The sequence below is a fragment of the Homo sapiens genome, chromosome 5 (assembly GCF_000001405.40).
Source record: "Homo sapiens chromosome 5, GRCh38.p14 Primary Assembly".
NCBI classification, from domain to species: domain Eukaryota; kingdom Metazoa; phylum Chordata; class Mammalia; order Primates; family Hominidae; genus Homo; species Homo sapiens.
In genome coordinates, this window is record NC_000005.10 from 114386513 (window position 1) to 114399276 (window position 12764).

The 12764-nt window shown below is 36.5% G+C and overlaps 1 protein-coding gene across 5 annotated transcripts in view, besides 1 other annotated feature; it reads left to right on the forward strand.

The window, feature by feature from the left end:
* The window catches only part of KCNN2 (potassium calcium-activated channel subfamily N member 2), a 440519-nt gene that overhangs the window by 330535 nt on the left and 97220 nt on the right, over positions 1 to 12764 (forward strand). The gene's annotated exons all lie outside the window — the stretch shown is intronic.
* Positions 2203 to 2704: an enhancer, noted in NCBI's record as "NANOG hESC enhancer chr5:113724412-113724913 (GRCh37/hg19 assembly coordinates)". NCBI's record gives its function as "activates a minimal SCP1, AML or CMV promoter by ChIP-STARR-seq in naive H9 embryonic stem cells {active_cell/tissue: H9 hESC(naive)}" and the evidence as "EXISTENCE:reporter gene assay evidence [ECO:0000049][PMID:30033119]".

Consider the following 12764-nt stretch of genomic DNA (forward strand, 5'->3'; position numbering starts at 1 on the left):
AAAAATTTCCTTCAGATTTTTTATCTTATTTGCCAATTTAAAAATCATGCAGCCTCAAATACCACCTTTTTAGTAGTATCCTTAGGTTTGAATTTAATGTGATACAAAAATACAGAATTTAAAAATTCCCACCATCTGAAAGGTTGAGCCAAGATTTATTTCTCTCATTCTTACTCTATGTATTTGTAATATAAGCACCTATGGAGGAATATAAGGAGGGGCAAGGGATGCTGTAAGTTAAGGGAGTAGTTGACTAACATGTCAGCGAATACATTCTGTCTGCCTCTCAGAATTCTGAGAGATTTCAGTCTCTATTTACTATCCCGCATTTATCAACAAGGTTGGTGATTCTTCTTTTTGATGGAGAACGCTCCTTAAGACGTATGTAGATTTTTGCTTTCTACTGTCCTTACTTTCTTCATCCTACCTTTAGGATGCTGTACTTTTGTGTTAGGCCAGTTAGCAATCTTGAAATACTTCCTGGTTATGTGTCATTCCCTACAGCATTTAGGGTAGAAAAAAATGGAGCCTAACTTGTGTTGTAAAGAAAACCTAACTTCATTGTGGCCACTTGATTATTTTTTCTTTAATCAAGATACAGCATTGAAAAAGAATATTTGTCTGGTTCTGAATCCAAGTAATACAAATGGATAATCTTTATTAAAAATCATCAAAACCAGCTGTGACCAACAGGTCTTACCATGTGGGTATTCAGAGCTAGTCCCATGATTTGTGCTTAATCACTGGCATGGCTGCTTGTGACAAACTTGCCACTTAATGTCTATTTTGTCATGGTATTTTAAAATCAGGGAAGTAACTATTAATGTAACAACATATGGCAGCCATTACATGGTAAACTAGAATGTTTTAAAAAGGAAGTTTTTGGAATTAAACACTGAGCTACAGCTTAGTGCATTTTTGCTTAACCTTGACTGTTATCAAACTGGGTTTAATGTGTTTCATAATACTGTATTCTAACTAAGTTTGAGAGCTTCAGTTAGAAAAAAATTTAAAAACTGCTAAAAAAAAATATTCCCTGTGGTTTTTGTTCTTAGACTTTGGGCTCATGTATCACATGCTTCTGGCATGTGTTCCCAGTTGCTAAGGCTCTGAGCAGTTCAGCCCGAAGAATCATTCTGGTCACTTTGTTCTTTTGTAGCTTCTTCATTGGTTTCAGCTCCAATAGAGCCTCTTTGTTGTACATAAGAAAGAACAGAAGAAAGGCTCTATCTACATCCTGTAGCTCTGAGGGAGACTCAGAGACTAGACTCTCTGACATTTCAGAGATGTTCATTCTCAGAGGCTTTCTAGCTTTTTGCCAGTTGGCAGTAGAGGGCTTTGCTCTCCCCCTCTGCTCCCACTCAGATATTATTTATCATAGGAGAAAAAGAATATTACAGTTGAAATAGGCTTCATTTTCTTCCTAGTCTCTTTACCCGCCTTCTGTCTGTAGAGGCAGCTGCCATTCAGAAACTCATGCATATCCTTCCGTTCCATGCTCTTATGTGTTCACTAAATAGAATCGTATTTCTAAACAATATAGTATTTGCATTCTTTCAATTTCATAGATGCTATGCTGTACCTATTATTTTACAACTTGCTTTTTTGTACTCAACATAATGTTTTGGATGTATAGTTTGGTTCATTTACATTTTTATGGCAACTGTTATTTTTGTACTTATTTCTGACATTATTTTGGGTTCGTAATGTTTTCACTGCTTCTATCTTTCTCCTTTCTTTCCTTATTTTGGGTGATGTGAAATATTTAAACATTCATTTCTTTCTCTGGCATTTTAGATGTTATGCAATTTATATCCCATCTTCTAGTGGTTACTCTTAAATTTTTAGCAAATATGTATATTTAACAGTGTTTAAGGTTGATCAGAATTTCTGTTTTTCTGTACAGTGTAACAATCTTTGGAGGCCTTCATTCTGATCTCCCTTCCTCCTTCCATCATACTATTGATGTCCCGCATTTTATTCATACCTTGCTTTTTTGACTTTCTCCAAATTAATCATATGGTTATGTTGATAACTATAATTATATATAGTCAATTTGTGTTTAGACTTACTAGCATGGTTACTTGTTTCTTTCTTTAGCTCCTTCTTTCTGGTTTATGTTTACTTCTTGCTGCATGCAGAGCACTCCTTAGCAGTCACTTCTGTTCTCAATCTGTGTATGTCTCAAAATGTCTTTCACCCTTTCCCCCTGAGAAATAGTTAGTTCTGTATAGTCTTCTAGGCTGACCATCATTTTGTTTTAGTACTTTGAAGTTTACAGTGACTTATTCTATATCAGTTTTTTTTATTTTAACAATCTGGATAGGAATATTTCTAAAATTTAGACATAATTTAAATAATGATTTTACAGCCCTTCTGCATTTGAAAAGAGGATCAATTAAGTCCCAGAGAGTCTTTGTTGAGGTCAACACTGTTATTTGGAACATGAGGCTTTGCATTGTGTTGTAATACAGTGATGTTCTCTGGTAATTGAGGTGTGCAAGAATGTTTGATTTTTCATTAGATGAGTTAAGACTGTTGGATTTTTTGAGACCTTGTATCTGCTTTTTAGTGGTGTGTGTATGTGTGTGCGTGTGTGAGTGTGTATGTGTCTTTCCTCTCTGTCAATACTTGCTGCTGTACCTGATTTACTTAATGTAATAATTGTTTTCCTTTAAGCACCTGTTTTTTCCCCATTGTATATGTTCGTTTCTCCTTTGCTGAAAACAAGGGCCTTAGATAACCAAACTGGTCAAGAATATATGGGTTCATTTGATGTTGTCATTGGCATTGTCTCTGTGTCCTTCCTGAAAAGATTTTATACCGGCTAAGTATGTGACAAGTCGCAGTATGCTTATTATGGACACAGGCTCTGAAGCCAGATTGCTTGGGTTCATATGCTAGCCCTGTATCATGTAACCCTGGCAAGTTCCTTAACCTCTAAGCCTCAGTTTTCTCTTCTCCAAGATGGAGATAATTGTAGTATACACCTTCTAGAATTGCTTCATGTTTTATATGAGTTAATACACACAACAGGCTAGAACAGTACCTGGTCCTGTTAACATGTGGTTAGTTAAGCATACTTTAAAACAGCTTTCAAGTTTCATCCCAAATACCGTGTGAACTGTGAGGTTCTATACAACTGAAGTTAAAAAAGTTTTCAGAATGAAAAATATCTAACTTGGAAAAAGACTAAACTAGGACGTAGTCTATTTCTGTTACCATGGGGCATTGAATGTAATGTCCAAGTTTATTTAAATATTTGCTTCTGCTGGAAAGCAGGAGGTCATCTAAGACCAGGGATGAAGATGTGACATTGGAGAAATCATAATGTAAATTAGTGGGTAAGCATTTTTTTGCTTTATAAATATTGATTTGCTTCCAACTTTTCAGTACAGCCTGATGCCCCCATCAAATGATGTGAATGCTGGAAGACCTGAACTTTAGCTTCAGGTTTTTCAATAACTCACACTGTGACCATGACCAAATTCTTTCAATTGCCTGTGCTTTAACTGGACTCTTCTAAGGGCAAATGAGATAATAACTATGACCTAGCTTTTAGCCAGCTTTTTAAGTGCTTAAAATAACTAAGGTGATGCTAATACATTTTAGCAATGTAGCAATATTATTACTATAATGCTTCAAATGAAAATGTAGAGTTTTTATCATTTCAGATTAAACTTTTAGAATCAAACACGTTGGCTTATATTTAATTATTTCATGGTTTGAGGCCTTACCAGGCTTATTTTATTTATGATTGGTTCCCCATCTACTTGCAGAAATGATTTAATGATACATACCAAAATTTATAAACCATTAAAATAAGTAAAAGACTGACCATGGAGGAACTTTGAATTTCTCATTTCATCTAACCTTTATTTTCATCATTTCCAGTAGCTACAATCAGTGATGTCAGTCTTTGTGTTCATCCCTTCTTATTCTACCTGAAGTTAGTTAAGGTTACATTTATTGGAGGCCAGATTTTGACACAGTGCTGAAGTGAACTATTATGAAAGAAAATAACATTTGTTGACACTATCCTTGTAGTCCTATGACCAGGCATCCTTAACAAATGATGAAACTGGAGCTCAAAAAGTTTAAGTAACTTTTCTGCAGTTACAGAGCTCATCAATTGTGGCATGTCGAAATCAACCCTAGATCTGCTTGACTCAATTCCAGAGTGCAAACACATAATCCATACACCACAGTGCTTTCTGTGATGTCAGTTCTGTTGAGAGAACCAAAAAGGGTAAAATGGTTACCTTAACAGAGAAGTTCAAAAGTGATTTTTAGAGGCAACTTGCATAAATTCCAAAGTAATGTGAATGTGAACATAATTGCATGATAATCTATCAACATGCATGCATTGCCTTTTTTGGGACCACAGAAGGTGCGGGCCTGGTGGTAAGAAACATGTGAAAGGGGAGTAAGATTCTAATTAAGTCTTAAGAGCAGCATAACATGGATTTATTATACGTAACCTTAACTATCACTGCATCCTGGTGGATAATTCTAGGATTTTTGACCTGTAGATAAAGCTCTTGCCTAAGTCAGGAGAAGACAATTTCAGAAACTCATTATTTTAGGAAATGACGAGAATACTTCTTTCAAAAATAGGTATAGCTGGAGTTTCTAGAGCTTTTCCCAATACTGACATTGCTCTAGATCTGTCTTTCCTTACCAATTTCCCTTCCTCCTCTTCCATGGCTAATTTTCCCATCTTTATATCGCAAGTTATTATTTAATTCATCTACTTGTCCCTCTCTGAAGGTCCATGGAATGCTAATACTTATTCATTTGGTCACTTTTACTAGGGACAGCAGAGTGGGTGTTAATGCATACTAATCATGTAAGGTTGATATTATTTTTATTTTTTTTTGTAGCTGAAGAAACTGAAGTTTACATAGATTAAATATATTGCCCCAAACCACTCAGCTAGTAAGTGGTCAAGCCAGAAATTAAATCCAAGCTTTTCCGGCTCCAAAATGTTGTGTGTGTGTGTTTCCTGTGAGTCACACTACCAGATATTCAGAGCAGTTGGTTGATATTTAAAAGGCATGAACAAAAGCCACCCACCCCAGAAATAACTCTACCACTCAATGGTTATTGTACTTTAAATTTCAATATTTGAGATGCATTTCTTCTGCATTGTTGGCTGCTCTCTCCATAAAGTGTTTTAAGTTAATAAATGTTATTTTTCTTTTATAAATCTTTACATAGCACATTAATGAATATTAAATTAAATGCAGGCATACTTTCAGCTGCTCAAGTAACAGAAAATCCACCTGATGGTGACTTTAACAAATGGGGTAGGTGGCTGCTGGTTCAGTGGCTTAAGATATCAGGGCTGGAATTACTGTGACTCTTTTGGTCTGTTTTTCATGGTCAGAGGGTGGTTGCTGCAGATCCAAGTATCACCTCTATTTAGGGCTGGAGGAAGGGAAAGAAGAGGTCTATGTCAGCCATGTCTGTCTTTTTTTAATCTAAAAAAGCAAAGATATTCTACTAAGTTCTCAAGCAACCGTTTGCTTATGATTTCAGATTGGAACTGCATCATATGGCTACACATAACTGCAAAGGAGTCTGGGGAAATTGATATTTCTGTAGTGCAGATAGGCAAGAGAGAAGGATGGGAATACTATTGGGTTAGCCACTTGATAGTGTTGCCTACAACATATGATATGTGTTCATTTTATTATTAAAATGACTTTCTGAAACAGCAAATAACATTATCTCCATTTTTACAGAGAGCAGAAATAAGGTTAACAAAGTTTGAAGGACTTCTCAAGGTCATGTAACAAGTTAGTAGCATATCTAGGATCTAAGCCTTAGTTTTCTTCGTTCTAGCAAGTTTTTTTCTTCATACTTTTCTCCTAGAGAGGAGTTGGCAATTCAGTGATTAATACTTAATTAGTTTCACATTCCTCCTCCTGGGTGGCCAGAGTGAACAGGGTTGCTGGAATGGGCATGAGACTTCAAGACAGAGGAAGGTTCCAGGATGGATGGTGAGGGAATGACAAGCATCAGCTTTGCTCGTTTCTTCTGAGTTTTGCTCAGGATTGGTGAATTCTGAACATAGCTTTTCAATTTTTTCCCTCCTGCAGTTCTGGGCTGAGGATCTTGGAGGAGATCTCAACGAGACCATTGAAAAGTCATCTCTCCCTTTCTGTTTGTCTTTTGACCTAGTCTGTGATGGGCACCTGTAGTCTCATTTCTTTGTTGACTGAATCCTAACAACACATTAATAAAGAAAACCTCATTATTTGGCTTTCTTCTGTAGTGTTTTTTGTGGGGTTTTTTTTTTTTTCCTTCACTTTGTTACATCCAAATGCTAGTTTCTAAGGAAGGAGGCTTTTTTTTTGTTTTTTGTTTTTTTTAATTAATACATTTCTGTGCATTTTTGTTTGGGGCCATGATCCCAAAAATGTCCTAAAAATGATATTGGAAGTTCCTTGTCATGGGTTATGTGAAGCTTCTGGTGGGAAAAGCACCATATACTGTTCCATGATGGAGCCTCCTCTGATCTCCTCTGTATTTCCTCAGCATTTTCTTTGTTTCTCTGTTGTAGTACTTATCACAAGGAAACATTAAGATGTAAATTTAAATATAAATCTTTCATGTATATTGCTCTTCCACATCAAACACTGAGAGGCTTTTTAATCCTTGTATCCACAGAACCTTACAAATAGAAGCATTCAGTAAGTGAATGAAAAAAAGAGAGCTTGGTTTTATTGAATATTTGGTTTAAAGGTTAACCAAGACATCTTATTTATTTTTGTTCATGCTGTTGAAAACAGTTATGTAATGTAATGGCTCAAGGATTTGTCTTAGTAAGCAGAATATTTTAGATGTAAATTGGATTCAGTGTGTTTGGCTGTGTACACTGTCATTCAGAACGTCAGTGATTACTTTCTAGTTTTGAAGTTTTGTACATGTAGACTGTTTGTTAGGATTTATTTGGATGTCTGACAACCTCATTTATTCTCATTCTTCCCTCCTCTGTTTTTTAACCATAAAAACTGCTTTTATTATTAACTAACTTATATTCATTTACTCACATCTCCAAAGTAAAAAAAAAGCATTAAATATTATATAATTAAAAGTCTCCCATCCATTTCTAGTGCCCAGCCACTCAGTTCACCTTCCCTAAGTGACTTTTATCATTAATTTCTGGAGTATTCTTTCAGAGATACTTTATGCACATACAAATACAAATATACCATCTCCCCTTTAACAAATCTGCACAAATAATAGCATGTACTTTGCTTTTAAAAAAAAAACCCTCAGTACTTACTTGATATCTCTTTTTAATAGCATATAACACGTTTCTTCATCTTTTATTTAATGGCATACTATTCATTTTATGGCCATTCATAATTCATTTAACCCGTTTCCCTACTAGATTATTCATATTATTTCCAGTTTTTTGCTAATATACAAGCAATGCTGCAACAAATAATCATGTACATTCACTATTTTTCACTCTTGCAAATATATTGATATGACAGATTTTATTCTAAGGAAATTGAATTACATTATCAAAGAGAATGTATGCTTATAACCTGATAAATTGCTCTCCTCCGATTGTACCAATTTACACTTCTGCCTGAGATATGCGTGAGTACTGTTTCCTCATACATTCAATGGTATTAACATGTAATAAAACTTTTACTGCCTATTCAATCTGACAGGTCAAAAAGTGATATCTCATTTTCTTCTTATGATTGAGGTTGGGCATTTGTTTCTATAAGTTTAAGAGCCATTTTCATCTCATTTTCCATGACCTAAGGCTTGTATCCTGCATTCATTTTTCTACTGTGCTGCTTGTCTCTTTCTTAATGTTTAAGAACTTTTATGTATTAGGGAGGTTAGTCCTTTGTGATAGGTGTTGTGAACGTTTTCCCATGGTTTGGTCCTTGTCTTTTTACTCTCTTTATTGTAGTTTTAGTTAATTGCAGAAAGCAAAAGTTTAATGAAGTCAAGTGCATTAAATGCATTAAAAGATAAGATGCAGTATTTTATCTTGAGACTCTGGAGTTTGTGTCAAAAAGGCCTTCCTTTCTCCAAGGTTATGGCCAGGTTCTTACCTGATTTCTTTTAATATGCTAGTATTTTCATTTTCACATCTATGTCTTTCAAACACTTGTATGGGTATGAGGCATGGGTTTAACTCTGCTTTTCTCCAGGTGGTTACTTAGTTGTCTCCAAATCATTTTTCCATAAGCTGTATTTTCCCCACTGATTGAGAGTCTACCTTTGTATTATTATGAAATTCTCAGTATATTGGGTCTATTTTAGACTTTCTGTTCTGTTCCATCAGGCTTTCAGTTATATTAAGTGCCAGTACCACCTGATTTTAATGATTAACTTATGTTTTAAAATTTATGTGGCTGCTTCTCCCTTGTTACTCTTCCTTTTCAGAATTTTCCTGGCTATTCTACTTACTTTCCTAACAAATATATGACTAAAATTATGTTTTTCAGTGTGTAATTTTTAAGCCCCAGTTTTTTGCTGAGCAATGCCCTGGATTATTTTCTAGAAGGTAAACCCAAGATGTTTAATGAATTGTCCCCGACTGCAAGAGCTTGCAGTTACCTTGCAGAGGAAAAGCACATGCAGAAGGTAGATAGGAGAAGGGTTCTGCAGCCGAGCTCCTTCTGGTGTACACAGGTTACCTCTTTGTGGGCAGGCCCCTCCTGCTAAACTCCAGCCCCTCTTCACTGATGGCTGGTCAGTGCTAACTAATCTATGATGATGAGCTTGAAGTATATTACATTTGGTTATCTGAGCAAATACAAAACAGTCGCACTGGAAAGTTCATGCTCATGGTGGGACATATTCTGAGGGCACATTCAGCATTATGCCTACAAGTTACTTTAGACCTCTGGCCAAGACTGTTAACCATCACCCTAGAATTAAGGTAGATTAAACTGTTCTTCTGACCTAAAATCTTTCATCTCTTAACAACCTCAGAATTGAAAATGAATATAGAAGAACTAAATAATATTAGTTCTTCTCATTACTTTAACTCACCTACAAGTGAGCTTAAAACAGATCATATATATTGTTAAGATTATATGGACTGTAATGAGAATAGTTCTACGGTTAGATTTTCATACTTGACAATGAATGAGTGTTGAATACCTGTGATGTTGAGAATGTTTTCATTTTCTTTATAGAATTGAGTGCATTAACATATCTCTCAACCTGGCAAATACCACTGGACAGTTTTTAATTGACGGCACCTAGCCTTGTCTCCTAGGACAGTTCTTTCCTTCCTGCTTCACTGCCTGCTGCTTTCCAGATCCTCTTACGTCCTGACCTTCCAAATGCCCTCCGCATTTGGGCTTCCTCTGGACTTGGCCTTGAGTACTGTTTTGTTCTCTTCACTTTGTCTAATTTTTCCTTTGATCTCATACGATTACCCAAATAACAGTTTTCTGAAATTTACTTCAGTAGTCCAGACTTCTCTTCTGAGTGACCTGCACTTGGCATATATACTCAGATGTAAATGGCCAAAATGAAACCTTTTATTTCTTACATTCCTTGCCTCCCTCCAGCCCTTGGCCCTTTGTACCCAGGAAATGGCACCACCATCCGCTGTGTTTCTCAGGGTAGAAACACAATAGCCATGTTTGCATCTTCTCTTTCTTTTATTGCTCCCACATCCAGCCCATCAGCAAGTTCTGACAAGATTTCTACTTTTGTTGTTGCTGTTGTTGTTTAGATGGTAGTCAGTATTTTATTATTTGGTGAATCAGGAGAAAGGGCTTTTGTTTTCTTAAGGGAGACTAGGAAAACTAATTAAGAGGGAGAAACCGGAAACATTACATAGGTGTTTTTCTGTGCCATACAGCATTTTTCTTTGTGGAAGAATTGAAAACTTTATGTGTGCCTCTATTAAATGGATATTTTTAAACTTTTATTTTGGTTCAAGGGTACATGTGCAGGTTTGTTATACAGATAAATTGTGTGTCGGGGGGTTTGGATTATATCATGTATGTAATAAGCATATAAGCATAGTACCCAATAGGTAGTCTTTTTTTTTTTTTTTGAGATGGAGTCTTGCTCTGTTGCCCAGGCTGGAGTGCACTGGCGCGATCTCGACTCACTGCAACCTCTGCCTCCCAGGTTCAGGTGATTCTCCTGCCTCAGCCTCCCGAGTAGCTGGGACTATAGGCACGCATCACCACACCTGGCTAATTTTTGTATTTTTTAGAGATGGGGTTTCATCATGTTGGCCAGGATGGTCTCGAACTCCTGACCTTGTGATCTGCCCGCCTTGGCCTCCAAAAGTGCTGGGGTTACAGGCGTGAGCCACCACGGTCAGCCTAGGTAGTCTTTTGATCTTCACCTTCCTCCCACCCTCTACCCTCAGGTAGGCCCTGGTGTCTATCATTTCCTTCTTTGCGTCCATGTGTACTCAGTGATTAGCTCCCACTTATAAGTAAGAATATGTGGTATTTGATTTTCTATTCCTGCATTGGTTCACTTAGGATAATGGCCTCCAGTCCCATCCACGCTGCTGCAAATGATATGATCTCATTCTTTTTATGGCTGTGCAGTATTCCATAGTGTACACATACCATATTTTCTTTATCCCTCTACCAATGAAGGGCATTTAGGTTGATTTCATGTCTTTGCTATTGTGAATACTGCTGCAGTGAACATACGCGTACGTGTATCTTTATGGCGAAATGATTTATAATCCTTTGGGTATGTACTCAATAATGGGATTGCTGGGTCTACTGGTAATTCTGTTTTAAGTTCTTTGAGAAATCATCAAATTGCTTTCCACAATGGCTGAACTCATTTACATTCCTACCAGAAGTGTGTAAGTATTCCCTTTTCTCTGCAACCTCACCAGCATCTGTTAGTTTTTTATTTTTTTGAGACGGAGTTTTGCTCTTGTTGCCCAGGCTGGAGTGCAATGGTGCTGTCTTGGCTCACTGCAACCTCTGCTTCCTGGGTTCAAGTGATTCTTCTGTCTCAGCCTCCTGAGTAGCTGAGATTACAAGCACGCAACACAATGCCCGGCTAATTTTTGTATTTTTAGTAGAGATGGGGTTTCACCATATTGGCCAGGCTGGTCTTGAACTCTTGACCTCAAGTGATCTGCCCCGCCTCGGCCACCCAAAGTGCTGGGATTACAGGCGTGAGCTACCATGCCTGGCCACATCTATTATTTTTTGACTTTGTAATAATAGCCATTCTAACTGGTGTCAGATAGTATCTCATTGTGGTTTCGATTTGCCTTTCTCTGATGATTAGTGATGATGAACATTTTTTCATATGCTTGTTGGCTGCATGTATGCCTTATTTTTGAATAAAGTCTGTTCATGTCCTTTGCCTACTTTTTAATGGGGTTGTTTGTTTCTTGTAAATTTGTTTGTTTCTTATAGATGCTGGATATTAGACCTTTGTCAGAGGCATAGTTTGCATATGTTTTCTTTCTTTTTATAGGTTGTCTGTTTACTGTGTTCATAGTTTCCTTTGCTCTGCAGAAACTCTTTAGTTTAATTAGGTCCCATTTGTCAATTTTTGTTTTTGTTGCAATTGCTTTTGGTGTCTTCATCATGAAATCTTTTCTAGGTCGTATGTCCAGAATGATATTTCCTAGGTTATAGTACAGGGTTTTTATTGTTTGGGGTTTTACATTTAAGTCTATAACCCATTTAGAATTGATTTTTGTATATTGTATAAAGAAGGAATCCAGTTTCAATCTTCTGCATGTGGCTAGCCGGTTTTCCCAGTACCATGTATCAAATAGGGCGTCCTTTCTTCATTGCTAGGTTTTGTCAATTTTGTTGAAGGTTGTAGATGTGTCGCATTATGTCTGCACTCTGTAGAACTCTGTATTTCTGCTCCATTGAACTATGTGTCTGTTTTTGTACCAGTGCCATGCTGTTTGGGTTACTGTAGCCTTGTAGTATAGTTTGAAGTCAGGTAATGTGATGCTTCCAGTATTGTTGTTTTTTTTTTTTTGTAGTTGTTGTTTAGGATTGCTTTGGCTATTCAGGCTTTTTTTGGTTCCATGTGAATTTTAAAATAGTTTTTTCTATTTCTGTGAAGAATGTCATTGACAGTTTGATAGGAATAACACTGATTCTGTAAATTGCTTTGGGCAGTATGGCCATTTTAACATTACTGATTCTTGCTATCCGTGGAATGCTTTTCCGTTTGTTTATGTAATTTCTGATTTCTTTGGGCAGTGTTTTGTAATTTTCCTCACAGAGATCTTTCATCTTCTTGTTTGGTTGTATTCCTAGGTATTTTATTCTTTTTGTAGTTATTATGAATGGGATTGTGTTCTTGATTTGTCTCTCAACTTGAATGCTATTGGTGTATAGGAATGCTACTGGTTTTTATAGAGTGATTTTGTTTTCTGAAACTTTGCTGAGGTTGTTTATTAAATCATTGAACTTTTGTGCAGAGACTATGGAGTTTTCTAAGTATAAAATCATGTCACCTGCAAACAGGGATAGTTTGAATTCCTCTCTTCCTATTCGGATTCATTTTATTTCTTTCTCTTACATGATCGCTCTAGCTAAGACTTCCAGTACTGTGTTGAATAGGAGTGGTAAGAGAGGACATCTTTGTTTTGTGCCAGTTTTCTAAGGGAATGCTTCCAGCTTTAGCCTTTTCAGCATGATGTTGGCTGTGGGTTTGTCATAGATTGCTCTTATTATTTTAAAGTATGTTCCTTCAATGTCTAGTTTGTTGAGGGGTTTTAACATGATGGCCTGTTGAGTTTTACCAAAAGC